Source organism: Homo sapiens, chromosome 6 (genome assembly GCF_000001405.40).
Source record: "Homo sapiens chromosome 6, GRCh38.p14 Primary Assembly".
In the NCBI taxonomy this organism is placed as follows: Eukaryota; Metazoa; Chordata; class Mammalia; order Primates; family Hominidae; genus Homo; species Homo sapiens.
The window spans coordinates 33,290,950-33,317,961 of record NC_000006.12 but is presented as its reverse complement, the minus strand read 5'-3'; the positions used below and the strand labels follow the sequence as shown (position 1 = coordinate 33,317,961).

Sequence of the window (27,012 nt, the reverse complement as noted above, 5' to 3'; positions counted from 1 at the left end):
GGCTTATAGCTTTAAAGGGGAATAAATGCTTCGGCCGAACCAAGTCCTGAGCTCCCAGCGGAGGAGGGGACCTGATCTTTTAAGGTGGAATGTGGCGATGTTTCTTTAAAGGCAAAGTGGCCGAGTCGGCCGAGTATTGCCCAGCGGCACGGGCGGGGTGCCCGGCTGTGCCTTTAAAGGCGGAGGGGCGGGAGGCGGAGCGGAGGCGGAGGGCGGAGGGAGTCGGCGCAAGATGGCGGCGGGAGGGGCCCAGGTTGCTGCTCTGGCCGCCGAGTGAGGGGCGGGGGGGGCCCGGGGGCGCGCGGCCCGGTAAGCGGGGACGCGCGAGGTTGGGGGGCGCCTTCCGGGTGGGAGAAGAGGCCGAGGTAGCGCTTGGGGCGGAGCGGGGGGGGGCGGGGTCCGTTGTGGGCGGAGGTAGACAAGGGGCGGGGTCGAAAGGCCCGATAGTGGGCGGGGCACGGGGGGGTGGGCCTGGAAAGGGGCGGGGCTAGAGAAGCTGGGGCGAAAGGGGGCGTGGTCGGCGAGAGAGCTTGGGGGGCATAGCCTGAGGGGAGATGGAGCAAGCGTTGGTTTTCAGTAGCAGAGCTGCCCTGCCCCCTCCCAAAAAGTGGGTGCAAAACACCAAAAAGGTAGATTTTGGAATGTCAGGCTCTCAGGTAAGTCGGAAATAGGGTATAATTCCGAAGGAAGCCACTCCAGCCCCTAAGAGCACCTTATTTCTCTAACCTCCAAGGAAAGGGCACAAGATTTGTCAGATACCTGTGTTTGCTGGCGCTGCCACTTGCTGTGTGACCTTGGATAATCTCTTAATCTTTCTGAGCTTTAGTTTCCTCATCTGTCAAATGGGGTTGAGAGGAATACCTACCTCACTGTTGTGGGGAGTTACACAGATAATGAGCGTGAACATATTTTTGAGTTGTAACGGGCTGTGTCGTTATGAGATGTTATCATTATTCTTTTCTCTTTTTCTTCCCAGAGACCCCCCCGGCCGCCCTCCTCCTTTCTTTGTTCCTGTGGCTGGGGGGGTATCCCCTCCCTCCACAACATGGAGCCATCTCCTCTGTCTCCCAGTGGGGCAGCACTTCCCCTGCCGCTGTCGCTGGCTCCGCCCCCACTACCCCTGCCAGCAGCTGCAGTGGTACATGTGTCCTTCCCTGAGGTGACCAGTGCCCTCTTGGAGTCCCTCAATCAGCAGCGTCTGCAGGGCCAGCTCTGCGATGTATCTATCAGAGTGCAGGGCCGGGAGTTCCGGGCTCATCGGGCTGTCCTGGCTGCCTCCTCCCCTTACTTCCATGATCAGGTCCTACTCAAAGGCATGACCTCCATCTCGCTGCCCAGTGTCATGGACCCAGGCGCCTTTGAGACTGTCCTAGCCTCCGCTTACACTGGCCGCCTCAGCATGGCTGCTGCTGACATTGTCAACTTCCTTACAGTGGGGTCTGTGCTCCAAATGTGGCACATTGTGGACAAGTGCACTGAACTACTCCGAGAAGGCCGGGCCTCAGCTACCACCACCATCACTACTGCTGCAGCCACCTCTGTCACTGTCCCTGGTGCTGGGGTGCCATCCGGGAGTGGGGGCACTGTGGCCCCTGCTACCATGGGCTCTGCGCGCTCCCATGCCTCCAGCCGGGCCAGTGAGAATCAATCTCCCAGCAGCAGCAACTACTTCAGCCCCAGGGAGTCCACTGATTTCTCATCTTCCTCCCAAGAGGCATTTGCAGCTTCTGCAGTGGGCAGTGGGGAGCGTCGAGGAGGTGGCCCTGTATTCCCAGCCCCTGTCGTTGGCAGTGGAGGGGCCACATCTGGAAAGCTGCTGCTGGAGGCAGATGAGCTGTGCGATGATGGTGGGGATGGGAGGGGGGCAGTGGTTCCTGGGGCTGGGCTCCGGAGACCCACCTACACACCCCCTAGCATCATGCCACAGAAACACTGGGTATACGTGAAGCGAGGTGGTAATTGCCCAGCGCCAACACCCCTGGTTCCCCAAGACCCAGATCTGGAGGAGGAAGAGGAGGAGGAAGATCTGGTGTTGACCTGTGAGGATGATGAAGATGAAGAACTAGGGGGTAGCTCCAGGGTTCCAGTGGGGGGAGGGCCTGAGGCTACCCTCAGCATAAGTGATGTCCGTACCCTGAGTGAGCCCCCAGACAAGGGGGAGGAGCAGGTCAACTTCTGTGAGTCCTCCAATGACTTTGGCCCATATGAGGGTGGGGGTCCTGTGGCAGGTCTTGATGACTCAGGGGGGCCAACTCCCTCTTCCTATGCCCCCTCCCACCCTCCTCGACCGCTCCTTCCCTTGGACATGCAGGGCAACCAGATCCTGGTCTTCCCGTCGTCGTCTTCATCCTCATCCTCACAGGCTCCTGGCCAACCACCAGGGAACCAAGCAGAACACGGGGCAGTGACCGTGGGGGGCACGTCGGTGGGGAGCCTGGGTGTGCCGGGTAGCGTTGGTGGGGTCCCTGGAGGGACTGGCAGTGGGGACGGGAATAAGATCTTTCTGTGCCATTGTGGGAAGGCCTTCTCCCACAAGAGCATGCGGGACCGGCACGTGAACATGCACCTCAATCTGCGGCCGTTTGACTGCCCCGTGTGCAACAAAAAGTTCAAGATGAAGCACCATCTGACTGAGCACATGAAGACGCACACAGGTCTCAAGCCCTACGAGTGCGGAGTCTGCGCCAAGAAGTTCATGTGGCGAGACAGCTTCATGCGCCACCGAGGACACTGTGAGCGCCGGCACCGCCTGGGCGGGGTCGGGGCCGTACCTGGGCCTGGGACTCCCACGGGGCCATCCTTGCCGTCCAAGAGAGAGTCTCCCGGAGTGGGCGGGGGCAGCGGCGACGAAGCGAGTGCGGCCACGCCCCCGTCCAGCAGACGTGTCTGGTCCCCACCCAGAGTCCACAAGGTGGAGATGGGCTTCGGTGGAGGTGGAGGAGCAAACTGAAGGGGCAGGCTACTGGGGTGGGGTAGCTTTCGGGAAAGGGAATAAGGAGCACGATGCAAGGGCGCTGTGGCCCCCGGGTGATCTCCCACCACACTTACTGTCTTCCTTTATCTCTGTGGACTTGTATATATTCTGGAAGGGGAACCACAGTTTCACCATCGCCCGCCCATTCTACTACTCAACCCCTCCCCCCCAAGGTATTTCCAGAACTAAACCCTTCCTTTCCCTCTGATGGGTACACTGAAGCCCCTGCTCCACAGAGTAGATTGCACATGGAGGGAGGGAGAGGGGGCGTGTTGAACATCCTGCAGTCACAGGGTCAGGGGTCAGGTGGTTGTAGTCTGTGCCTGAAGTCTGTGTTTGTGTTGTCGTGGAGACAAGGCCTTTGAGCCCCACCCTTGTCCTAGAACCTACCCCCTCTCAAGGATGCGCTCTTTATTTCTACCCTGTCTCTCCCCGCCACCCCCGACTTCCCGTGGAAATTCCCAACTCGGTTCTCATGGAGGAGTGGGTGGAGACAAGGAGGGAGTAAGTCGTAGGAGTACAAGGTTTTTATTTTTTTTAACAGTGATTAAAATATTTATTGGTCATTTACTTGGCTTCCCGATAACCCGTGTGTTTGCTGGGGACGCGGCACAGATAGGGGGAAGCCGGAGTAATGGTTTTCGGGCAAGTGGATGTTGGAGAGCACACACAGGAGTTGGGGGGCGGGGGAGGGCCTGGGGTTGGGGAGGGCTCGAACTCGGGGCTGCTGGGTAGTCCAGGAGGGCGCGGTAAGGCTGGGGTGTCCTGGTGAGAACTGGAGAGGATCTACCCGGGTCCCTGCCTGGCCAGTGGGGAAACACCGGTCCCCCAGGCACCTTCACCTAACCAGAGCGGGGATTTCCACCGCCCCTCATGCCGCCCTTTGGAGGAAAGTGAAAGTGAAAGGAGGAAGAGGAGGCTTCATGGCTGAGGAGGTCGCAGCGCCATGAAGTCCCTGTCTCTGCTCCTCGCTGTGGCTTTGGGTGAGCGAACCCCGCGACTCATCGCCCAAGAACTAGAGGGAAGCGGAGGGAGGTGGCCCCACTGGAGCCGATGCCAGGGTGGGAGTGGGGCAGGTCACCAGACATACAAACCGCTCCTCACTCGCGTCCCTATACGCCAGGCCTGGCGACCGCCGTCTCAGCAGGACCCGCGGTGATCGAGTGTTGGTTCGTGGAGGATGCGAGCGGAAAGGGCCTGGCCAAGAGACCCGGTGCACTGCTGTTGCGCCAGGGACCGGGGGAACCGCCGCCCCGGCCGGACCTCGACCCTGAGCTCTATCTCAGTGTACACGGTGAGTCTCTAGGGACTCGCCGCCCCCCTACCTCTGTCGCCTCCACCGAAACCCCCTCCTCTTTAGATCCGGCAGTGACCTCAGGCCTCAGCTTCCCCTTTGTAAAGTGAGTCTCACTACGGGGTAGTCTGTGCATTTGAAGTTCCCCGAACGCTGCCCTTCCAGCCCCTTTCCCGGCGGTGACTCTACAGCTGCAACTTCCTTCTCTACACTCAGACCCCGCGGGCGCCCTCCAGGCTGCCTTCAGGCGGTATCCCCGGGGCGCCCCCGCACCACACTGCGAGATGAGCCGCTTCGTGCCTCTCCCCGCCTCTGCGAAATGGGCCAGCGGCCTGACCCCCGCGCAGAACTGCCCGCGGGCCCTGGATGGGGCTTGGCTGATGGTCAGCATATCCAGCCCAGTCCTCAGCCTCTCCAGCCTCTTGCGACCACAGCCAGAGCCTCAGCAGGAGCCTGTTCTCATCACCATGGCAACAGGTAGCTGGGGAGGGGAGGTGGAGAAGGGTGGGTAGATTCTAAGGGTCCAGATCAGCCGGTGGTCTCGCTTTATGGACTTGAGCAAGACATTTCGCCAATCGGGGTTCAGTTTCCTTTTTTTGTTAAGAGAGGTGGTTTGGCTAGAATGAATCAATCTCTACCGCTCCTTCTAGCCCTCACCCAGTTAAAAAAAAAAAACAAAAAAAAAACTGCAGCTTGGCAGGGGGTAGGGGGAAAGCAGGGCCGGGCAGGGGGGTTACTTTCTGGTGTTTCGAAGGGCGGGGCTTTGAAGAGGTGGGGTTTCCCGACACCAGACCTTGAGAGACTTGTCAGGTGATGCGAGGTGGGAGGGGTTCAGAAGCAGGAGCGTTTTTTCTCTGCTCTTCCCAGATCTGTGTCTTGCTCTGCACCCTCAGCTTTGCGGGTCACTCTTTCAAAACCCAGCACTCTATCCCCACCTGCGCCCACACCCGGCGCTGCGGCAATCCGCAAAGCAAAGGCTCTTGCACTCTAGCGCGTTGACCTTGCCTGACAGCCCCGTGTAGGGATGTGCTGCCGCTCTGTGGTCCGCAAACAGGTGGGCTCGAGTGGGCGGATGGACGCGGCTGGAGATTGGATAGCTCCTATTGCACTGAAAGGTGCATTGCAGTTTGAGGCCCAGGAGTCAGAAGCTTTTCTAGGCTGGGACGTGGGAGGGACTGTGCAGATAATTCAAGAATGAGGAGAGTCTGACCTGGATATCTGGGAGCTCTCCCTCCTGGCAGCGGAGGCGGGGTATTCCGGGGTAGAATACCGGTAGAGTTCTTAGCTTTTCTATCTGGATTTTATGTCAGCGACACAGCCCGATGGACAGGGCAACCCCAACCAATCCCTGCACCCTCCCTTCCCTCCACCCTCCTGAGAATTACCCACAGAACCAGGGAGACAGACTTGAAACCCACGCTGAAACCCTCACCTCTGCCTATACCTCCATTCTTAGTCTCAAGCCCCCACCCTGGCAGAAGCTGAGGAACACTGCTCTTGTGTAGACAGTAGCTCTCTCTGGTGGGGTGGAATATTTCCTAGGGCTACTGGCTCCACCGAGGTGATGATGAGAATGGTCTTTGCTTTCTGAGTTTGTTTTTCCAACTGTAAAATGTGGATACTATTTCCCAGCTGCTTTTCTTGTTGTGACTATCAAGAGATGGCACTGTGTTAATTTATCCATTGATTCAATAAATACTTTTTAGCACCAAGAATGAGTTAGGACTCAGCAGTTCTCAGTCCACACTGTTGGAGGTTTCTAAAATATACTGAAACCTGATTCAATCCCATGCTTAGCTTGGCCGATTAAATCAGAATCTCTGGGGTGGCCCTGGGTGCCCTTAAGGGTCACAAAGATGATCTGATGTAGACTCTGCTCTCCAGGAGGTTCTGGGCGTATTTGCCACGGATAATCCTAATGTAAAGTAGAAAGTGAAGGACATGCAGACAGGGAGCCCTGGAAGTGCCCGGGTGGTAAGATTGTCTGTATTTCACAAACAACTGGGGTCAAAGCAAGGTGCTGTGCTATTTATTTATTTTTATTTTATTTATTTATTTATTTTTGAGACAGAGTTTTGCTCTTGTTGCCCAGGCTGGAGTGCAATGGCGTGATCTCACGCTCACCGGAACCTCCGCCTCCCTGGTTCAAGCAATTCTCCTGCCTCAGCCTCCCGAGTAGCTGGGATTACAGGTGCCTGCCACCACACCCAGCTAATTTTGTATTTTTAGTAGAGATGAGGTTTCTCCATGTTGGTAAGGCTGGTCTCGAACTCCCAACTTCAGGTGATCCTCCCACCTCGCCTCCCGAAGTGCTGGGATTACAAGCGTGAGCCACTGCGCCTGCCTGCTATTTATTTATTTATTTATTTTTGAGACGGAGTCTCCCTCTTATTGCCCAGGCTAGAGTGCAGTTGCAGTGGCATGATCTTGGCTCACTGCAACCTCCGTCTCCCATGTTCAAGCAATTCTTGTGCCTTAGCCTCCCCAGTAGCTGGGATTACAGGCTTGTGCCACCACGCCCACCTAATTTTTGTATTTTTATTGGAGACAGGTTTCACCATGTTGGCCAGGATGGTCTTGAACTCCTGACCTAAGGTGATCCACCCACCTTGGCCTTCCAAAGTGCTGGGATTACAGGCATGAGCCACCACGCCCGGCCTGCTGTGCTCTTTCTTTTCAAGCATTTCTGCTTGATCAGGGATTTAAGAAAATGAAAGCTGTTGTACTGATGTAAAATTAGAAATGAAATCTCTCCAGGGTCCAAGATCATTCATGATTTTGCTAATATACATTTATACTTGTCTTATCAAATATTTTTAAATGTTTATTGACAAATATGCTTATTTATTTATTTATTTGAGACAGGGTCTCCCTCTGTCGCCCAGGCTGGAGTGCAGTGCAGGCTGGAGAGCAGTGGCATGATCTCAGCTCACTGCAACCTCCACCTCCGTGGCTCAAGTGATCCTCGTGCCTCAGTCTCCTGAGTAGCTGAGACCACAGGCATGTGCCACCATGCCCAGCTAATTTTTGTATTTTTTTTGTGGAGATGGGTTTTTGTCAGGTTGCCCAGGCTGGTCTTGGACTCCTGGGCTCAATTGATCTGCCCACCTTGGCCTCCGAAACTGCTGGGATTACACGTGTGAGCTGCCTGGCCCCAAATATACTTTTTTTTTTTTTTTTTTTTTTTTGAGACAGAGTCTCACCCTGTTGCCCAGGCTGGAGTGCAATGGTGTGATCTCTGCTCATTTCAACTTCTGCCTCCTGAGTTCAAGTAATTCTCCTGTCTCAGCCTCCCAAGTAGCTGAGACTACAGGCGCCCACCACCAGGCCCAGCTAATTTTTGTATTTTTAGTGGAGACAGGGTTTGGTCATGTTAGCCAGGCTGGTCTTGAACTCCTGACCTCAGGTGATCCACCCACCTCAGCCTCCCAAATTGCTGGGATTACAGGCGTGAGCCACCACGCCAGGCCTATACTTTCTTAATATACTTTGTGTGTATAGTGTTTAATTCTCACCATTCTTTTAAAATATTATGGAGTCAGGTGAGGTGACTCACGCCTGTACTTCCAGCACTTTGGGAGGTCTAGGTGGGAGGATCATTTGCACTCAGGAGTTCAAGACCAGCCTGGGCAACATAACCAGACCTTGTCTCTACTAAAAATTAAAAAAATGCTGGGCGCAGTGGCTCATGCCTGTAATCCCAGCACTTTGGGAGGCCGAGGTGGGCAGATCACCTGAGGTCGAAAGTTCAAGACCAGCCTGACCAACATGGAGAAACCCCGTCTGTACTAAAAATACAAAATTAGCCAGGCATGGTGGTGCATGCCTGTAATCCCAGCTACTCGGAAGGCTGAGGCAAGAGAATTGCTTGAACCTGGGAGGCGGAGGTTGCAGTGAGCCAAGATCATGCCACTGCACTCCAGCCTGGGCAACAAGCGTGAAACTGTCTCAAAAAAAAAAAAAAAAAAAAAAAGGTTGGGTGTCGTGGCATGTACCTATGGTCCCAGCTACTCGGGAGGCTGTGTTGGGAGGATTGCACCTTTGATGGGTGACAGAGTGAGACCCTGTCTCCAAAAAAAAAAAAAAAAAAAAAAGAGTTAAACTGTAAAACCTTTAGGTCTTGTTTATTATTTTTTTAAATTTTTTCTTTTAAATAGAGATGGGGTCTTGCTATGTTGCCCAGGCTGGTCTCAAACTGCTGGGTTCAAGTGATCCTCCCACCTCAGCCTCCCAAGGTACTGGGATTACAAGTCTGAGCCACCCTGCCCAGCCAGGTTTTGTTTATTAATTCTATGGATTTTTTTTTTTGAGATCAAGTTTTGCTCTTGTTGCCCAGTCTGGAGGGCAATGGCATGATCTCGGCTCACCACAACCTCCGCCTCCCAGGTTCAAGTGATTCTCCTGCCTCAGCTTCCCAAGCAGCTGTGATTACAGGCGTGTGCCACCATGCCCGGATAATTCTGTATTTTTAGTAGAGACGGGGTTTCTCCAGTCTGGTCTCAAACTCCCAACCTCAGGTGATCCACCGGCCTCGGCCTCCCAAAGTGCTGGGATTACAGGCGTGAGCCACTGTGCCCAGCCTGTGGATCTTTTTTTTTTTTTTTAACAATTCAAAAGTATGTTTCTGGATTTTGACAAACTAAGTGAAATTGCATACTGTTTTTACTCTACTGAACAATTCCATGAAGATGAGAACAGTTTAACCTTATAGGCCTCAGAAGCTAGGATTAAAAAGAACATAAAAATAATTACAAGAAGAAAAAGATTACTTCTACCTGAAGGACCTAGACATTTCTGGGAAGAAACAGCAGTGAAAGTGACCTTCATGTACATGGAGTATTTAGATCAGGGGTCTCCAATCTTTTGGCTTCCCTGAGCCACACTGGGAGAAGAATTGTCTTGGGCCATGCATAAAATATACGAACACTAACGATGGCTGATAAGCTAAAAAAAAAAAATGTGAAAAAATCTCATAATGTTTTAAGAAAGTTTATGAATTTGTGTCGGGCTGTATTCCAAGCCGTCCTTGGCTGCATGTGGTCCCTGGGCTGGAGGTTGGACAAGCTTGATAGATGTTTGGGAGAAAATGGGAAAGACAATGTAAACTGAAGGGACCTCATGACCAAAGCAAAGAGATGACCAATGATGACCACTTCTACTAGGCACAAGAAAGGGGTTCTATGTGGCTGGTTTGTAGGGTGCAGGAGAAGCCTGGAAGGGTGGGTTAGGGGCTGAATGTTCAAATACCTTGAAAGCTGGGCTTTGTTCTGTAGGTGAGAGCGAACCATCAGAAGTTCTTTTGGAGGGCGTGTTATTCTAAAAAGCCTGTTTTTATTATGTACATATTTATTTTTTGAGACGGAGTTTCACTCTTGTCACCCATGCTGGAGTGCAATGGGGTGATCTTGGCTCACTGCAACCTCTGCCTCCTGGGTTCAAGCAATTCTCCTGCCTCAGCCTCCCAAGTTGATGGGATCACAGGCACCCACAACCACGCCCCGCTAATTTTTTTTTTTTTTTTTTTTGTATTTTTAGTAGAGATGGGGTTTCACCATGTTGGCCAGGCTGCTCTCGAACTCCTGACCTCAGGTAATCCACTCGCCTCAGCCTCCCAAAGTGCTGGGATTACATGTGTTAGCCACCATGCCCGGAAAAAGCCTGTTATTTTACTTGATTCTTTTAAAAGATAGGCAAAGGTCAGATCTTTGGACTAGTGAGGAAAATACAGGTTAAATGATTTTTCCAAGTTAACCAGCAAGTCCATGATAGTGATGAAGGTAATGAAAATAGTAACAGCTAACATTTATCAAGTATTTTCTATATGCCAGGCCCTGTTCTAAGCACTTTATATGCATAATCTCACTTATTCCTCTCAACAACCATAGGTTGTAGGTTTTAATATTATCCCTGTATTGCATATGGATAAATATAGGACACAAACCAGTTAAATAATTTGCCCAAGGACACACAGTGTGTAAGAAGCAGAGCTAGAGGCCAGGCGTGGTGGCTCATGCCTGTAATCCCAGCACTTTGGGAGACCAAAGCAGGTGGATCACCTGAGGTCGGGAGTTCAAGACCAGCCTGGGCAACATGGTGAAACCCCATCTCTACCAAAAATACAAAAATTAGCTGGGCACGGTTGTGGACGCCTGTAATCCCAGCTACTCAGGAGGCTGAGGCAGGAGACTCACTTGAACCTGGGAGGCAGAGGTTGCAGTGAGCCAAGATCACACCACTATACTCTAGCCTAGGTGACGAGCAAAACTCTATCTCAAAAAAAAAAAAAAAAAAAAAAAAAAGAAGCAGGGCTAGAAATTGAACCCAGGCCATATAGCTTCAGCCTATGCCTTTATCAGCTGACTTCCTAGGTATTTGGGATTTTTATTTTATTTATTTATTTAGTTTTGAGACGGAGTCTCACTCTGTTGCCCAGGCTGGAGTGTAGTGGCATGATTTCAGCTTACGGCAACCTCTACCTCCCAGGTTCAAGTGATTCTTCTGCCTCAGCCTCCCAAGTAGCTAGGACTACAGGTGCCTGCCCCCACACCTGGCTAATTTTTGTATTTTTAGTAGAGACAGGGTTTTGCCATGTTGGCCAGGCTGGTCTTGAACTCCTGACCTCAGGTAATCCACCCGCCTCAGGCTACCAAAGTGTTGGGATTACAGGTGTGAGCCACCACGCCTGGCCGTATTTGGGATTTTTTTTTTTTTTTTTGAAACGGGGTTTCCCTCTTATTGCCCAGGCTGGAGTGCAATGGCACAATCTCGGCTCACCGCAACCTCTGCTTCCCGGGTTCAAGCAATTCTACTGCCTCGGTCTCCCGAGTAGCTGGGATTACAGGCATGTGCCACCACACCAGGCTAATTTTGTATTTTTAGTAGAGACGGGGTTTCACCATGTTGGTCAGGCTGGTTTCAAACTCCCGAACTCAGGTGATCCACCCGCCTCGTCCTCCCAAAGTGCTGGGATTATAGGCATGAACCACTGCGTCTGGCCCATATTTGGGATTTTTAAACAGGTAGGTGATGGGATCAGACTTGTAGTCACTTTGTTTGGCTACAGTGTGAAGAAGGAGTTGAAGGAGAGACTGAGAATAGGGAGACCAGACAGGAGGGCTGTTGTAATTGTCTAAACGTACATTGATGAGAACCTAAATTGGAAACAGATGTGAGATCTGTTAGGTCCTGGTGGGGATAGCACATAGCACATTATTTTTGACAATTTGCTTGTCTGTCATTGGACTATAGGCAATTTGAGAGCAGGGACTGCTTGTCTTGTTCACCATTCTGTCTTCTACCAGGATACCTTGAACATCTTCAGTGCTCAATAGTTGCTGAATGAATAAATGAGTCTGAGTAACTCCAAGGGTTTGCTTTTAGTGTCTGGCGGGCTTGGTGATCATTCATCAAAGACAGGGAAGATGGGCATTGGAGCAGGGTGGGGAATGTTGCAGAGATGCTGTTGACTTGGGGTATGCTAAGTTAGGTGTAACTATAGCAAACACGTGTAGACTTACTGTGTTCCAGACAGTGTTGTAAGCACCCTTCATGGGTAGGTGTCTCTGTTATCTAAAATTGGGAACTGAATAGACTTGAGTAGCAAGAGGTATTAATGATTTAACCATCACAACAACCTCATGAAGTAGGTACTATTATTATCATCAACTTTTAATTTTAGAGATTAGGAAGCTGAGCCATGGAAAAAGGAAGTGGCCCAAGGCCATATAAATAAGCTGCAGAGGGGATTTGAACCCGGTCAGCCAGGCTCCAGGCACTTAGCCACTGCACTGTACTGCTTCAGTAGAGCATAGAGGTCTGTGCTCAGGTCTAGGCTAGAGCTGGAACCTTCTAGAGTCAGTAAATATTCTGTACAGCACCACAAGACTGACAGTCATGGCTCAATCATTGTCTTCGCCTGTAATCAAGAAAGGCCTGGTTCCTCAAGGGTGGTGCTTGGAGATAGAGTGGTTCAGGTTGTGTCAGAAGTGGCCTCGGATTCTGCAGTCCCCCGAGCTAGAGTGTGCTATGTGTTCAGAGTAGGCTTCAAAGGCCATACCCCCTCATTGCCCCTACTCACCACCCCTAGACCTCTCTGCTCACCCTCAGCCACACTAGGTGCCACCCAGTCGCAGAGCAAAAGGAGTTTGCAGGGAGGGCTAGGAAATGGTGAGTATCAGAAAAGGTGTCCTCTGAGGGGTGGGTAAACTGCAGTTTAGCCCTCCCCAATAACTGCATTTCTCTATTTTTTTCTCCTTCTTTCTCTCCCTCATGCCCCTCCCAACCCCTCATCTCCCTGTCTTCCTCAGTGGTACTGACTGTCCTCACCCACACCCCTGCCCCTCGAGTGAGACTGGGACAAGATGCTCTGCTGGACTTGAGCTTTGCCTACATGCCCCCCACCTCCGAGGCCGCCTCATCTCTGGCTCCGGGTCCCCCTCCCTTTGGGCTAGAGTGGCGACGCCAGCACCTGGGTAAGGGACATCTGCTCCTGGCTGCAACTCCTGGGCTGAATGGCCAGATGCCAGCAGCCCAAGAAGGGGCCGTGGCATTTGCTGCTTGGGATGATGATGAGCCATGGGGCCCATGGACCGGAAATGGGACCTTCTGGCTGCCTACAGTTCAACCCTTTCAGGAGGGCACCTATCTGGCCACCATACACCTGCCATACCTGCAAGGACAGGTCACCCTGGAGCTTGCTGTGTACAGTGAGTTGGGGGACAGAGGTCTCCAGGGGTAGAGGGTGGGCACTGGATTGTGGGGACCGTAATAGGGGGAGGGATGATGGATAAGAGGGTGCCTGGGCAAGTAAGTAGAGATAGAAAGAGGTTCCTGGGAGTTAGAGGGGTAATGGGAGGCTAGAAGTTTCCTGGAAATTTGAGGGGCTTTGACATGGGTATTTCTGTGACGCACCAATGGAGAGACAGTGGGTTCCCTATTTCAGGAGAAGAAACCTAACCTTCTTTAGTTCTGAGGAAGCCAGCAGGCAAACTGAGGGTCTCTTAGGGAGGACAGTATGGACTGATTTCCCTATGCTCATTTCGTCCTCTTTCCCCAGAACCCCCCAAAGTGTCCCTGATGCCAGCAACCCTTGCACGGGCCGCCCCAGGGGAGGCACCCCCGGAATTGCTCTGCCTTGTGTCCCACTTCTACCCTTCTGGGGGCCTGGAGGTGGAGTGGGAACTCCGGGGTGGCCCAGGGGGCCGCTCTCAGAAGGCCGAGGGGCAGAGGTGGCTCTCGGCCCTGCGCCACCATTCCGATGGCTCTGTCAGCCTCTCTGGGCACTTGCAGCCGCCCCCAGTCACCACTGAGCAGCATGGGGCACGCTATGCCTGTCGAATTCACCATCCCAGCCTGCCTGCCTCGGGGCGCAGCGCTGAGGTCACCCTGGAGGTAGCAGGTAAGAGCTGGGAGCTCTGCGGAATCTGAGCCAGCACCCAGGAAGACAGGAGCTCACTCTCACCCCTTCTGCCTGCCAGGTCTTTCAGGGCCCTCCCTTGAGGACAGCGTAGGCCTTTTCCTGTCTGCCTTTCTTCTGCTTGGGCTCTTCAAGGCACTGGGCTGGGCTGGTAAGTGTCAGCCCTACCCTGACCATGACCTGAGGTTGGTGGACTTTCCCCACCTACTCCCAAGAGCCTGACACCCATCCCTCTGCCCTCCACCTCTACCACTCCAGCATCCCATCCCTTCTCAATCTTTCCCCACAGCTGTCTACCTGTCCACCTGCAAGGATTCAAAGAAGGTACAGTGCTCCACCTCTCTGTATCTTTCCCTTGTCACTTTATCTCCTCATCCTATCTCAAAACCCATGGAGGGAGGCTGCTGGTGTGGTAGGCAGAACCTAGGCTTGGAATTCACACTGATCTGGGTTAAAACCTGGCACTATATCCTAACTGTAGGACTCTTTGAGCATGCTACTTAATCTATATGTTTCCTTGGGTGTAGGGATTTTAAAAAGTTACTTAGGCAGTGCTGTCCAATAGAAAGATAATGCAAGCCACATATGTAAATTTAAATACTCTAGTACTCACATTAAAAAAATAAGCAGAAACAGGTAAAATTAACTTAATAATATACCTTATTTAATCTAATAATTCTGGTCCCTTATCTGAAATGCTTGGGTCAGAAGTGTTTTTGGATGTTGGATTTTTTCAGACTTTGGAATATTTGCATATATTTAATATCTTTGGGATCAGACCCAAATCTAAACACAGAAATCATTTATGTTTCCTATACACCTTATACACATGGCCTGAAGATTTTTTTCCTTCTCTTTTTTTTTGAGACAGAGTCTCTGTCGCCCAGGCTGGGGTGCAATGGTGCGATCTCGGCTCACTGCAACCTCCACCTCCCAGGTTCAAGCGATTCTCCTGCCTTAGCCTCCCGAGTAGTTGGGATTACAGGCACCCACCACCACGCCTGGCTAATTTTTGTATTTTTAGTAGAGACGGGGTTTCACCATGTTGGTCAGGCTGGTCTCGAACTCCCGACCTCAGGTGATCCGCCCGCTGCCTTGGCCTCCCAAAGCGTTGGGATTACAGGTGTGAACCGCTGCACCCGACCACAATATTTTTAATAATATATGTGACCCATCACATGAGGGCAGCTGTGGGATTTTCCACTTGTGGCATCATGTTGGCACTAAAAAAATTTCAGGTTTTGGAACATTTCAGATTTTAGAGTTTTGGATCGGCGATGCTCAACCTGTACATCCAAAATATTATTGCAACATGTAAACAATATAAGAAATTACAGGCCGGGTGCGATGGCTCATGCCTGTAATCCCTGCACTTTGGGAGGCCGAGGCGGGAGGATCACCTGAGGTCAGGAGTTCAAGACCAGCTTAGCCAACATGATGAAACCCCATCTCTACTAAAAATACAAAAAATTAGCCAGATGTGACGGCACCTGTAATCCCAGCTACTCGGGAGACTGGGGCAGGAGAATCGCTTGAACCTGGGAGGCAGAGGTTGCAGTGAGCTGAGATCACACCATTGCACTCCAGCCTGGGTGACAAAAGGAAAACTTCGTCTCAACAACAAAAAAAAAAGAAAAAGAAATTACAGTCTTGGCCAGGTGCGTTGGTTCACGCCTGTAATCCTAGCACTTTGGGAGGCTGAGGAGGGCGGATCACCTGAGGTCAGGAGTTCAAGACCAGCCTGGCCAACATGGTGAAACCCCGTCTCTACTAAAAATACAGAAAAATTAGCCGGGCATGGTGGTGCACACCTGTAATCTCAGCTACTCAGGAGGCTGAGGCAGGAGAATTGCTTGAACCTGGGAGGTGGAGGTTGCAGTGAGCCGAGATCGCACCACTGCACTCCAGCCTGGGCAACAGAGTGAGGCTCTGTCTCAAAAAACAAAACAAAACAAAACAAAACAAATTAGCTGGGCATGGTGGCACACAGCTATAGTCCCAGCTACTTGGGGAGCTGTGGCAGAAGGATCGCTTGAATCTGGGAGGGTGAGGCTGCAATGAGCTAAGGTTGTCCCACTGTACTCCAGCCTGGGTGACAAAGTGAGACCCTGTCTCAAAAAAAAAAAAAAAAAAAGAAAGAAAAGAAAATAAATTGCAGCCCTTTTCTCACCTTAAGTATTCAAACACAGGTGTTTATTTTAAATAGTCAGCACATCTCAATTCGGACTAGCCACATATCAAATGCTCAATAGCCTAATGTGGGTGGTGGCTGTCATATTGGACAGCGGAGCCTGAGAGGACTTTTAGGAGGATTAAGGAAGACAGTGTATCTCCTTAAGAAGATGCAGGAGATACAGCACTCAGCAGTGTCTGGAGGGCAGAAAATATTAGCCTCATCCTTCTCCCATCATCTGTGCCCATGATAGTTTATATGTCTCTAAACTGACCATGTACACCTCAACTGCCTTTTAATATCCTGAATTCCTCACCACCTTCCTCTCTTCCAGAAAGCAGAGTGAGGGCACTCACTGCCATCCTGTGGAAGCCACCATCATCTCTGGCCCAAGCTTCTGTAGTAGCTCCCTAAAATAATACCCTATCATCTGCTCCTAATCCCTCCAATCTCTCTCCACTGAGTGGCTGGAATGCTTTTTTTTTTTTCTTTCACTTATATAAGGGATAATTTTTCTTTTTTTTTTTTTTTTGAGACGGAGTCTCACTCTTCCGCCCAGGCTGCAGTGCAGTGGCATGATCTTGGCTTACTGCAACCTCCGCCTCCTGGGTTCAAGCAATTCTGTGGCTTCAGCCTCCGGAGTAGCTGGGATTACAGGCACATGCCACCACACCCAGTGAATTTTTGTATTTTTAGTAGAGACGGGGTTTCACCATGTTGGCCAGGCTGGTCTTGAATTCCTGACCTCAGGTGATCTGCCCACCTCAGCCTCCCAAAGTGCTGGGATTACAGGCGTGAGCCACCACACCAGGCCCGAGAAATGCTTTTTTAAAAAACACACATCTTATGGCATTCACCTTCTTGGAGCTCTAGGACAGTGGTTCTCAAAATTTTTTTCTCTCAGGACCTCTTAAAAATCATCAAGGACCCCAAAAAGCTTTTGGGTATGTGGGTTATAGCTATCAATATTTATGGTACTAGAACTTAAAAGTGAGAAAAATTTAAAACACGAGAATACATAGGCACACATTCTATTCATCGTGGGAACCATGGTGTCAATACATATCATGTAGCTTCTGAAAAACTCCACTGTACACTTATAGAATGAAGAAGGCAAAAAACTTTTTTTTTTTTTTTTTTGAGACGGAGTCTCGCTCTGTCGCCCAGGCTGGAGTGCAGTGGCGCGATCTCGGCTCACTGCAAGCTCCGCCTCTCGGGTTCACGCCATTCTCCTGCCTCAGCCTCCCAAGTAGCTCGGACTACAGGCGTCCTCCACCATGCCTGGCTAATATTTTGTATTTTTTAGTAGAGACGGGGTTTCACCGTGTTAGCCAGGATGGTCTCGATCTCCTAACCTGGTGATCCGCCCGCCTCGGCCTCCCAAAGTATTGGGATTACCCGCGTGAGCCACCGCGCCCGGCTGCAAATAATCTTTCTTTTTTTCTGAGACAGAGTCTCGCTCTGTTGCCCAGGCTGGAGTGCAGTGGCACGATCTCGGCTCACGGCACGCTCCGCCTCCCGGGTTCACGCCATTCTCCTGCCTCAGCTTCCCGAGTAGCTGGGACTACAGGGGCCCGCCACCACGCCCGGCTAACTTTTTGTGTTTTTAGTAGAGACGGGGTTTCACCGTGTTAGCCAGGATGGTCTCGATCTCCTGACCTTGTGATCTGCCCGCCTCGGCCTCCCAAAGTGCTGGGATTACAGGCGTGAGCCACCGCGCCCGGCGGCGAAACACGATATTGTACTAACATCTTAATTTTGTTATAAAATCTCACAAACCCCCTGACATAGTCTCAGAGATCTGTAGGGCCGAGGTTACATTTGGAGAACCCGTACTCTAGGGCCAAATCCATTCTTCTTGCCCTGGCTCACTTGTCCCCCCCACCGCCCCGCGCTGGAGCCACTGCCTAGTTCTTCAGCCCTAGATGGTGCTCGCCAGACCTCCTCTCAATGCTCATCACACACAGGGCTATTCCTTTCCTCCAATGAACCAAACGCCTCCCGCCCACCTCCAGGTCCCAGTCCTCTGTTCCCTTTGCCTGGTCCACCCTTGCCCTCCCTGGGTCGCAGACGAGGTCGGCCTCGTCATTCCCCGCAGACCGCCGCGCGTCCCTCTTGTGCGGTTCACCACAGTTGTATTTAAGTGATCGTGTGAGTCGTCGTTAAATGCCTGTCTCCCCGCGGATCATGGGCTCCTCGAGGACAGGGACTGGCCTGTCTGTCCACTGCTGTAACCCCGCGCCGGCATAGGGACCTAAGGCCCACTGGAGGGCGCTCATCAAGTAGCTGCTGGATGTTGACGAAGGAAGCGGCGGCGCAGCTCAGGGATCTCCGAGTCAGGACGGTCGGCCAGACCCACGGGGTAACGGGTCTAATCGTGTAGGAATAAAGCTGTATTCCAGTGCTTCCAAACGGTTCTCTCATTCCAACCCCTTTCCAAGCTCAATGAATATTCCAATCACCTCTGGTCCCTTCCAGTGACCCTGAACCGCTCAGAGAACGCCCCGTCGACACCGTTCGGGGCGGGCGCCACTACTGGCGCATGAGATGCGCTCAAGCAGAGGGTACTCCACCAGCGAGGATACACCGAGCCGACGGGGATCTCGGTCTCGGCGCCGGAAGCCTCTGAGAGCCGAATCTGGAACCGGATGTGGCTGCTTCCTGCCCCGCCCCCTGCCGAGGGGGCGGGAATCGAGGGCCCTTCGGAAAACCCGGCCGGGATTTCGGTCAGCTACATTCGTGGGTTGTGGTAGGGAGGGTAATCCCGTGGGGATGGAGTGACCGGCTCTCTCTCCGCCTGAAACGCTTCCCGCGGGAGTTTTAGCCGTGTTATTGTTGGGGAAGGGAATGTCAAATTCTGCTCCTGCCTTCCCCCAGGGGCTGGAGACTGGAATCTTTATTCCAGTTCATTGCGGGTCGACGTGGTCTCCAGAATCCCCGAGTGTAGAGGCGGAGGACAGTGGAGCTGGGGACTCGGGCGCCTGGGTCCTGGTCCCTGAGCGTCCAGCGCTCCCCTAGTCCGCGGCCCTGGCTCCTGTCCTCACTTCCTTCCCCTTTTGGCTCCTGCTCTCGGAGCGGGCGGACGCGGGGGGGAGCGGAAAGGGCGGGAGGGCCCAGGAGCCCGGCGGGGGGGTTCAAGGGGGTACGGAAAAGCCGGGGAGGGGACTCGGTCCGGGGCCGGAGACCGACGGCAACAGCGGCTCAGGACCCACGCTGCCCCCACCCCTCCCGAGCAGGTCAGAGCCTGAGCACCCTGCGCGTCCCCGTACTCGTGACCTCCTCCTTCCCCAACAGCACCAAGGGCCCCCCTATTCCACCCTTCTGTTGCCCCCTCCCCCAACCTTCCTGCAGAACTCCCTTCCGGTCTTCTTGACACCCACCCACGTCCCTTCCCTGCCCGGTTCCCCCGCGCCTGCCTGACTCTCCACCCCCACCCCACCCCGTCTCTCCCCAGGCGCCCCCATGGCCCGACCCCGCTGATTCCTTCACTCGGCCATGCTCCCGCGGCCCCTGCGGCTGCTTTTGGACACGAGCCCCCCCGGGGGAGTCGTACTGAGCAGCTTCCGAAGCCGGGACCCCGAAGAGGGTGGGGGCCCAGGTGGCCTGGTCGTGGGCGGGGGGCAGGAGGAAGAGGAGGAGGAAGAAGAAGAGGTGAGACGCGGGTGGTGGGAGGTAGGGGGCGTATGTATTTCTGAAGTCTCCACTTTTCTCTTGTCTCTGGGTCCCTACATCTCCTCCTCCTTGCCTCAGTTATTCTCGCGCCTCCCTGGGTGTCGGCCCGTTTCTCTGCTGCGGGGAGTCCTGGCGTCTCCGTGGTTCTCTGTCAGTGTGACTCAGGACCTGCCCGCAGGAACCTGCCCTGTTCCTGCCTGGAACTTCTGGCTGGCTGTCCTGTCCCTGCGGGTCTTTGGCCCTCCACCTCTGCCTGCCTGAGTGTGCCTACCTCTCTGAGCAGTCGTGTCTTGGTCCCTGTCTCCCTCCTTGTTTTTGTTTGGCGGGGAGGGGTTTGTTTCCACAGTAACCAGCTCCTCTGACTCTGGGATTGGGGAGGGAACCCTCAGATTTCGTGACCCCTCCTTCCCTCTCTCCCCCTTCCCCCCGCCCCCCCGCCCCGCCCCGGTCCTGGGTAGAGGCCGGGAAGCCACGGTTCTGGGACCTGGAGGAAAGATCCTAGGGTGGGTAGAGAGTGGTCATCTGTTTTCATTAGGGATTAATGGTGGTGGCCAGGAGCAGGATTTCGGGCCTCAGGAGGGGCCAGAATTTGGATTTGGGGCCCCGAGGCCCTAAACTCCTAGGTCCAGATCCTAGGTGAGGGCAGGTTGACTGGCAGGGCTGGTTTTTCGGGATCGGTCGGGGGAGGGGCTGGGGCCACGTGACTCTCTGAGTCTACCGCCCCCAACCCCCTATCATCCCACTTCCCCTTTTCCTTCCTGTACTGGGATTGGAGCTGCTACCTTCGGGGGTCCCTTAGGGCTGAGATAGTGGAGGCGCTACCCGAGGGACCAGGGTGAAAGGGGTCCTGAAAAAGACTAATTCTCTGGGCTGGTATAGTCCTTGGCCGGGAGGGGCGGGGCATGCGGCAGTGCCTGGACTGAGGTTTCAGCTACCCCTAGTCGCTGCCTCTGGCTTGCTGCCTCTCGCTTCCCTCTCCTGCCCTTTGTACCCTGCTTCTCTGTCGTGTGTGGGTTCAGCTCTGGGGAGAAGGGGCTTTGGGGGTCTCCAGGATCAGAATTCCTGTACTCCATCCACGCCTCCACTGCAGCCCCTTCGACTCCACCGGGGCCCTGAGGCGGCTGGGGTGGGGCTGTCTGGGCCCCAGTGGGGGAGACCTGGGGTCACCAGCTCCCCCAACCCTTCCTCGCACTCGCTGGTACTATGCCCTGCCACCACAGGTGAGGGGTACAGAGGGAGGAGCAGGGCCTGGGGTGAAGGCTGAGGGCAATGGGGGGTGGTGTGGAACTGTCTGACTTCCCCTTCCTTGCTCCTCCAGGCCCCTGTGTCCGTCTGGGATGAGGAGGAGGATGGTGCCGTGTTTACCGTCACAAGCCGCCAATATCGACCTCTTGATCCCTTGGTGAGATCATGACTTTAGCTTCTCACCTCTGACTCTTCATTCCCAGTTTTCCTTCCTCTGGCTGACTTTCTGGCCAGAGTGCTAGGTTGGAGTTCTGGAGTCCTGGACTCTGCTGTGTGACATAGGCCAAGACTCTTGCCCTCTCTGAATATCAGAAAAATGAGTCTGGAACATCTCCTGGGTCTGGGATTGTCCTCAGAAATCTAGGTGCAGAGTGGGAGAAAGGGTTAGCGATCATCTCTCTGTGTTCTCCAGGTCCCTATGCCTCCCCCACGTTCCTCCCGACGGCTCCGAGCTGGCACTCTGGAGGCCCTGGTCAGACACCTACTGGATACCCGGACATCAGGGACTGATGTGAGCTTCATGTCAGCCTTCCTGGCTACCCACCGGGCCTTCACCTCCACGCCTGCCTTGCTAGGGCTTATGGCTGACAGGTCAGAGTCATAAGGGACGCAGGGTAGTGGAGTATCTGCCCGGATTTCCTAAAGCCGCAACATCCCACCAAAATAGTCAAAGCCACTGAGGGTTTGGGAAAAATGGACAGATAGATCCTCTTCTCCCCCTCAGGCTGGAAGCCCTTGAATCTCATCCTACCGACGAACTAGAGAGGACAACAGAGTGAGTGACCCCTGGTTCTTAATCTCACAGTCCCCTCTGCCCAGGCTGCAGCTTTACCTCTCACCCTTGGCTGATTCCCTTCTCCCAGGGTAGCCATCTCTGTACTGTCAACCTGGCTGGCCTCTCACCCTGAGGATTTTGGCTCTGAGGCCAAGGGTCAGCTTGACCGGCTTGAGAGCTTCTTACTTCAGACAGGGTATGCAGCAGGGAAGGGTGTTGGGGGGGGCAGCGCTGACCTCATCCGCAATCTCCGGTCCCGGGTGGACCCCCAGGCCCCCGACCTTCCTAAGCCCCTGGCCCTCCCCGGCGATCCCCCTGCTGACCCCACGGATGTCCTGGTGTTCCTCGCTGACCACTTGGCCGAACAGCTGACCCTGCTAGATGCGGTGAGACCCTGACCTCTGGCCCCTATGCCCCCTGACCCCTTACTAACCTCTCCTTGACTCCAGATCCTTTCCTTGCTTCCACCCCTTCCTGATCCAGCTCCTAGCCTCCTCCACCTACCATTTTGATTCTCCCCTTTTCCCTTTGGTCGTTACCCTTCAAACCCTGTGCCCCTCTGGTTCCTTGGCCACCTGAGATCCTCAGATCCCTGATATTGGAAGGCTGACCTCACTTGACTATGAACTTTAACCTCTGACCTCTACCCTGCAGGAACTTTTTCTCAATTTGATCCCCTCTCAGTGCCTGGGAGGCCTGTGGGGTCACAGAGACCGGCCAGGACATTCTCACCTCTGCCCATCTGTCCGAGCTACTGTCACACAGTTTAACAAGGTGGCAGGGGCAGTGGTTAGTTCTGTCCTGGGGGCTACTTCCACTGGAGAGGGACCTGGGGAGGTGACCATACGGCCACTCCGTCCCCCACAGAGGGCCCGGCTCCTGGAGAAGTGGATCCGCGTGGCAGAGGTGAGAGAGAAGATTGCCCTACGGTTTGTGGCCATGGAATGGAGAGGCCTCCCATAGCCTTAGCTCTCTTCTTTGACCCCCACAGGAGTGCCGGCTGCTCCGAAACTTCTCTTCAGTTTATGCCGTGGTGTCAGCCCTGCAGTCCAGCCCCATCCACAGGCTTCGGGCAGCCTGGGGGGAAGCAACCAGGTGCGGAGGCTGAGGCATTGGACTGGGGTGGGGGTTCCTCAGAAGGCGGGGAAGAGGGGGTGACAGAGCCAGGCCTGTCCTCAGGGCCACTTTTCTCCCTTCCCCAGGGACAGCCTCAGAGTCTTTTCCAGCCTCTGCCAGATTTTCTCCGAGGAGGATAATTATTCCCAGAGTCGGGAGCTGCTCGTGCAGGTGAGAGCCTGGTTTGTGGCATTCCCACCTCTCCTTGTTCCCTACTGCTCCCCCATGTCTCTTTTATTTTGTCACCACCAGGAGGTGAAGCTGCAGTCTCCTCTGGAGCCACACTCCAAGAAGGCCCCGAGGTCTGGCTCCCGGGGTGGGGTGAGTGACTAGCGGGGTGGTGGGCGTGGGGGTGGTGATTATGAAGGGGTGAGGAGTATGTTTTGGGGGAGCAGCCTGAAGGATGGGTAAGGGAGGCACAGAGGGGTGAGGAGAATGAAATCTGTTCTCTGAGGCAATGAGGAGGGCAAGTGCGGAGGGATGGAGGGCCCTCACGTCAATGGCAGGCACTTCTGACCCTGACCCCTGACTTCAGGGTGTGGTCCCATACCTTGGCACCTTCCTGAAGGACCTTGTGATGCTGGATGCAGCCTCCAAGGATGAGTTGGAGGTCAGTGGTGTGTGTGTGTGTCATTGCAATGATGTAACAAGTGGGCTGCAGGGTCGGACAGACCCCCCCGCCCCTTGCAAGGGGCTGTAAGGCACAAATAGCTGAGTGTGGGACAGAGCCAGATCTGTTTCTGTGCCAAGTCGCCTCAGTGATCTGTAAATGGGAAACTAGAAATAGCATCTACATTGATCTGTTATAAGGGTTAAATGAATTTGTATTTGTCAAGTGCTTAGAACGTGCCTGAAACGTAAGCACATCTAGGTTTTGTGATGGGCTCCTGCTCTATTGCTAGAGTTTGTTAAATAAACAAATACTGAGACCTTGGACAAGTTCCTTATCCTCTCTGGATAAGGAATCCTGTCGAATTGGATACTATCCAGTCCTCTCATCTGCAAAGCAGACTCGTTGTCTACCTGAGAAATTCAATTTAAAGGGTCAAGTGGAGTGCTTAGGCCATGATAGATTGAGGAGGAAGGCAGGGAGGGATCGAAGAGTCAGAGAGGCTGGAGGGAAGTGGTTGTGAGTTGGATGTGGCTGTGTGTGTTTAAGAGAGGGGATATTCTCTCTCTGTGGCCGGAAGGTAGGGTTGGAACTTTCACCCCATCCCCATTTTCCTCGCAGAATGGATACATCAATTTTGACAAGCGGAGGAAGGTGAGCGGAGTGTCTGGGCTGGATGCTGGACTTCCCTATCCATGTTCCAGGAAGGGGAGGGGGAAAAGTCAGGGGTCCCTGAGTTTTGGCTCCTGCAGTTTGAGGGCTCCTTCCCAGGAGTTTGCAGTCCTTTCTGAGTTGCGACGGCTCCAGAATGAATGTCGTGGCTATAACCTCCAACCTGACCATGATATCCAGAGGTGGCTACAGGGGCTCCGGCCACTGACAGAGGCTCAGAGGTGACTGGCGGGTGAGGTTGGGACTCCAGGGTTCTGGCCAGGTGTGGGGGATTGGTGTCATGTCCTGAGCTCTGCCTATTGCCCCCCTAACCCAGCCATCGTGTATCCTGTGAGGTGGAGCCACCTGGTTCCAGTGACCCTCCTGCCCCACGGGTGCTTCGGCCAACATTGGTCATCTCGCAGTGGACAGAGTGAGAGATTCACTGGCTGGGGGGTGGTTTCTTGGGACTTCCACTTTTCTCTGATCCTCCCAATCTCCTGCCACTGCAGGGTTTTGGGCTCTGTTGGGGTCCCTACCCCGCTTGTGTCCTGTGACCGGCCCAGTACTGGGGGAGATGAGGCGCCTACAACTCCTGCTCCTCTGCTGACTCGGCTGGCCCAGGTGAGCTCTGCTCCTGACTCTGACCTTGACGCTGACCCTCACTCTGTAAATGTTTCTTCCTTAAACCTCCCTGCCTTCATGCCAGTCCCATGTTGTTTGTTCCTAGCACATGAAGTGGCCATCTGTCTCGTCACTAGACTCTGCCTTGGAAAGCAGTCCATCCCTGCACAGTCCAGCTGACCCCAGCCACCTCTCCCCACCAGCCTCCTCCCCTAGGCCTTCTCGAGGTCACCGCCGCTCAGCCTCCTGTGGCTCCCCGCTGAGTGGGGGTGCAGAAGAGGCCTCCGGGGGGACTGGATATGGGGGAGAGGGATCTGGGCCAGGGGCCTCTGATTGCCGTATCATCCGAGTCCAGATGGAGTTGGGGGAAGATGGCAGTGTCTATAAGAGCATTTTGGTGAGGGAGCCTTGGGATGGAGTTGGGGTGAAGGATGGTGTCTTGTTGGACTATAAATGTTGTCTGAGGTTTGGGCAGCCAAATGGAATTGAATGTAGTTTTAATTTTGACCTTTGGTTTTGGCAGTTATGTTTTATTTTTAATTTTATCTTCTAAACTCTAGTCTTCAATAGAAGCTGAAATTTGTTTTATTTTGATGGCTATTTTGCATTAGTTGCTACACCTTAAACTTTTGGTCGCCGTGTTAAAATTTCAGAATCAACAGCAGTTTCCCCACAGGGAAGCAGCTCTGTTTCACTGGGCACCATGTGGGCTGGCTTATGGGGTATAGGAAGCCACCATATTGGGTTTTCCTGTTCATTTTAAAGCCTTGGACACAAGTAACATTTTGTGGTTGGGTTCAGTGGCTGAGGGTAGAAGGATGGGAAATCATGGCTGATTGATTGCTCTTTTGGTCTCCTGTTCTGCCAGGTGACAAGCCAGGACAAGGCTCCAAGTGTCATCAGTCGTGTCCTTAAGAAAAACAATCGTGACTCTGCAGTGGCTTCAGAGTATGAGCTGGTACAGCTGCTACCAGGGGAGCGAGGTCAGAGGCCATGAGGGAAAGGCAGACTCGGGAGGAGAGTGGAGTACTTCCACATCTGGGCGGCTGTGGGGGGAACAACTGTGTGTGTGCTTTACATCCATCCCCTGAACCTTCAGAGCTGACTATCCCAGCCTCGGCTAATGTATTCTACGCCATGGATGGAGCTTCACACGATTTCCTCCTGCGGCAGCGGCGAAGGTCCTCTACTGCTACACCTGGCGTCACCAGTGGCCCGTCTGCCTCAGGAACTCCTCCGAGTGAGGGAGGAGGGGGCTCCTTTCCCAGGATCAAGGCCACAGGGAGGAAGATTGCACGGGCACTGTTCTGAGGAGGAAGCCCCGTTGGCTTACAGAAGTCATGGTGTTCATACCAGATGTGGGTAGCCATCCTGAATGGTGGCAATTATATCACATTGAGACAGAAATTCAGAAAGGGAGCCAGCCACCCTGGGGCAGTGAAGTGCCACTGGTTTACCAGACAGCTGAGAAATCCAGCCCTGTGGGAACTGGTGTCTTATAACCAAGTTGGATACCTGTGTATAGCTTCCCACCTTCCATGAGTGCAGCACACAGGTAGTGCTGGAAAAACGCATCAGTTTCTGATTCTTGGCCATATCCTAACATGCAAGGGCCAAGCAAAGGCTTCAAGGCTCTGAGCCCCAGGGCAGAGGGGAATGGCAAAATGTAGGTCCTCGCAGGAGCTCTTCTTCCCACTCTGGGGGTTTCTATCACTGTGACAACACTAAGATAATAAACCAAAACACTACCTGAATTCTACTCCCCTGTCCTTGCAGTACATATGAACTGGCTGCTATGAGTGGGGGTGGGGAATTGGCTGAAGGTAGATGCCATGGAACAGGAAGGGGCACAATGTTTTCTGTCCCCATGAACAGAGCAAAAAGTGAGGTATTGGTGAAAAAAGTTTCCTCAGAACAGTTTCTCTCCAGTAACCTCTCTACCACTGGTCCCTTGCTGCAAATGTGTATAAAACAATTTTAGGACAAGGAAATGGCAGAACAACTTTATGGACAACATATAAACTTGGGAGGACTTATAATACCATAAAGCATTACATGCTGGGATTTTAAGTCAGTTTAAAGCTACATTCAAGCAAATTCTAGGAAGACAGAGGCTGAAAAGTACTAATAGAGATGCCAGGGCTGTTGGCAAGGAGGGTAACCACATTTCATCCTGGGGCCTCAGGTTAGAGAACTGTGTATTCTTTTTCAATTAAACCGACATTCCTAGCAATATGGTATGTTGCAAATGCCCTTCCAAAAGAATCATGCCAACCAAGATGAGGGAGAGTTAAGGGTTGTATATACAGGCAAGAAGTAGGTTTGAAGACATTTAGGATTTCACTTTCAAGAAAGAACACTGTGCCACAAAGAGATTCCAAGTGCAAGAGTTTGAACCTGAGGGGGTAATACAGGTGGTGTGTGTTAAGGTGGAAGGGGCTGTGGGGATATGACAGAAGTGCC

The 27,012-nt window shown here is 53.2% G+C and overlaps 3 protein-coding genes across 21 annotated transcripts, besides 8 other annotated features; all 3 read left to right on the top strand.

The window, feature by feature from the left end:
- On the top strand, window positions 20-3,544 carry ZBTB22 (zinc finger and BTB domain containing 22). 2 transcript variants are annotated; one of them, NM_001145338.2, is made up of 2 exons: window positions 20-84; window positions 977-3,544. In NM_001145338.2, the coding sequence occupies exon 2, from the start codon at window positions 1,046-1,048 to the stop codon at window positions 2,948-2,950; it is 1,905 nt and encodes a 634-aa protein (NP_001138810.1). In that variant the 5' UTR covers window positions 20-84; window positions 977-1,045; the 3' UTR covers window positions 2,951-3,544. The 2 variants fall into 2 exon arrangements, with proteins under 2 accessions (NP_001138810.1, NP_005444.4); NM_005453.5 differs by lacking the exon at window positions 20-84 and adding an exon at window positions 218-309.
- Window positions 2,013-2,670: an enhancer, noted in NCBI's record as "H3K27ac-H3K4me1 hESC enhancer chr6:33283069-33283726 (GRCh37/hg19 assembly coordinates)". NCBI's record gives its function as "activates a minimal SCP1, AML or CMV promoter by ChIP-STARR-seq in primed H9 embryonic stem cells {active_cell/tissue: H9 hESC(primed)}" and the evidence as "EXISTENCE:reporter gene assay evidence [ECO:0000049][PMID:30033119]".
- Window positions 2,296-2,590: a silencer, noted in NCBI's record as "tiled region #3790; K562 Repressive non-DNase unmatched - State 2:TssF". NCBI's record gives its function as "represses a minimal TATA promoter and a strong SV40 promoter by Sharpr-MPRA in K562 cells {active_cell/tissue: K562}" and the evidence as "EXISTENCE:reporter gene assay evidence [ECO:0000049][PMID:27701403]".
- Window positions 2,671-3,330: an enhancer, noted in NCBI's record as "H3K27ac-H3K4me1 hESC enhancer chr6:33282409-33283068 (GRCh37/hg19 assembly coordinates)". NCBI's record gives its function as "activates a minimal SCP1, AML or CMV promoter by ChIP-STARR-seq in primed H9 embryonic stem cells {active_cell/tissue: H9 hESC(primed)}" and the evidence as "EXISTENCE:reporter gene assay evidence [ECO:0000049][PMID:30033119]".
- On the top strand, window positions 3,884-18,268 carry TAPBP (TAP binding protein). 7 transcript variants are annotated; one of them, NM_003190.5, is made up of 8 exons: window positions 3,884-3,957; window positions 4,098-4,268; window positions 4,485-4,745; window positions 12,575-12,973; window positions 13,324-13,665; window positions 13,745-13,834; window positions 13,973-14,007; window positions 16,191-18,268. In NM_003190.5, exons 1-8 carry the CDS (start codon window positions 3,921-3,923, stop codon window positions 16,200-16,202), a joined length of 1,347 nt encoding a protein of 448 aa, NP_003181.3. In that variant the 5' UTR covers window positions 3,884-3,920; the 3' UTR covers window positions 16,203-18,268. The 7 variants fall into 7 exon arrangements, with proteins under 7 accessions (NP_003181.3, NP_757346.2, NP_001397804.1 ...); NM_172209.3 differs by lacking the exon at window positions 4,485-4,745; NM_001410875.1 differs by lacking the exon at window positions 13,973-14,007.
- On the top strand, window positions 16,350-26,308 carry RGL2 (ral guanine nucleotide dissociation stimulator like 2). Of its 12 annotated transcripts, none has more exons than NM_004761.5 (18): window positions 19,020-19,092; window positions 19,311-19,507; window positions 20,847-20,930; window positions 21,186-21,364; window positions 21,498-21,548; window positions 21,637-21,934; window positions 22,203-22,454; window positions 22,540-22,643; window positions 22,751-22,835; window positions 22,917-22,985; window positions 23,200-23,274; window positions 23,896-23,928; window positions 24,046-24,167; window positions 24,263-24,358; window positions 24,438-24,549; window positions 24,656-24,946; window positions 25,418-25,532; window positions 25,649-26,308. In NM_004761.5, exons 2-18 carry the CDS (start codon window positions 19,352-19,354, stop codon window positions 25,858-25,860), a joined length of 2,334 nt encoding a protein of 777 aa, NP_004752.1. In that variant the 5' UTR covers window positions 19,020-19,092; window positions 19,311-19,351; the 3' UTR covers window positions 25,861-26,308. The 12 variants fall into 12 exon arrangements, 10 of the variants coding, with proteins under 10 accessions (XP_047275158.1, NP_004752.1, NP_001230667.1 ...); XM_047419199.1 differs by lacking the exons at window positions 19,020-19,092; window positions 19,311-19,507 and adding exons at window positions 19,965-20,164; window positions 20,619-20,748; XM_047419202.1 differs by lacking the exons at window positions 19,020-19,092; window positions 19,311-19,507 and adding an exon at window positions 16,350-18,582.
- Window positions 16,839-17,344: an enhancer, noted in NCBI's record as "H3K4me1 hESC enhancer chr6:33268395-33268900 (GRCh37/hg19 assembly coordinates)". NCBI's record gives its function as "activates a minimal SCP1, AML or CMV promoter by ChIP-STARR-seq in naive H9 embryonic stem cells {active_cell/tissue: H9 hESC(naive)}" and the evidence as "EXISTENCE:reporter gene assay evidence [ECO:0000049][PMID:30033119]".
- Window positions 17,345-17,852: an enhancer, noted in NCBI's record as "H3K27ac-H3K4me1 hESC enhancer chr6:33267887-33268394 (GRCh37/hg19 assembly coordinates)". NCBI's record gives its function as "activates a minimal SCP1, AML or CMV promoter by ChIP-STARR-seq in naive H9 embryonic stem cells {active_cell/tissue: H9 hESC(naive)}" and the evidence as "EXISTENCE:reporter gene assay evidence [ECO:0000049][PMID:30033119]".
- Window positions 18,609-18,787: a silencer, noted in NCBI's record as "fragment chr6:33266952-33267130 (GRCh37/hg19 assembly coordinates)". NCBI's record gives its function as "represses an EF-1alpha promoter that drives an FKBP-Casp9 reporter gene in an ReSE screen in HepG2 liver carcinoma cells {active_cell/tissue: HepG2}" and the evidence as "EXISTENCE:reporter gene assay evidence [ECO:0000049][PMID:32094911]".
- Window positions 19,555-20,055: an enhancer, noted in NCBI's record as "H3K4me1 hESC enhancer chr6:33265684-33266184 (GRCh37/hg19 assembly coordinates)". NCBI's record gives its function as "activates a minimal SCP1, AML or CMV promoter by ChIP-STARR-seq in naive H9 embryonic stem cells {active_cell/tissue: H9 hESC(naive)}" and the evidence as "EXISTENCE:reporter gene assay evidence [ECO:0000049][PMID:30033119]".
- Window positions 20,142-20,669: an enhancer, noted in NCBI's record as "H3K27ac-H3K4me1 hESC enhancer chr6:33265070-33265597 (GRCh37/hg19 assembly coordinates)". NCBI's record gives its function as "activates a minimal SCP1, AML or CMV promoter by ChIP-STARR-seq in primed H9 embryonic stem cells {active_cell/tissue: H9 hESC(primed)}" and the evidence as "EXISTENCE:reporter gene assay evidence [ECO:0000049][PMID:30033119]".
- Window positions 26,309-27,012: the final 704 nt, after the last annotated feature.

Coding starts and splice junctions, on each gene's coding strand:
- TAPBP (NM_172208.3), top strand. CDS start 3,921: ATGAAGTCCCTGTCTCTGCTCCTCGCTGTGGCTTTGG. Junction 4,269..4,484: donor GCTCTATCTCAGTGTACACG/GTGAGTCTCTAG, acceptor CTCTACACTCAG/ACCCCGCGGGCGCCCTCCAG. Junction 4,746..12,574: donor TCTCATCACCATGGCAACAG/GTAGCTGGGGAG, acceptor TGTCTTCCTCAG/TGGTACTGACTGTCCTCACC.
- ZBTB22 (NM_001145338.2), top strand. CDS start 1,046: ATGGAGCCATCTCCTCTGTCTCCCAGTGGGGCAGCACTTCCCCTGCCG.
- RGL2 (XM_047419199.1), top strand. CDS start 20,070: ATGGTGGTGGCCAGGAGCAGGATTTCGGGCCTCAGGAGGGGCCAGAAT. Junction 23,929..24,045: donor ATTTTGACAAGCGGAGGAAG/GTGAGCGGAGTG, acceptor GCTCCTTCCCAG/GAGTTTGCAGTCCTTTCTGA. Junction 25,533..25,648: donor GCTGCTACCAGGGGAGCGAG/GTCAGAGGCCAT, acceptor CTGAACCTTCAG/AGCTGACTATCCCAGCCTCG.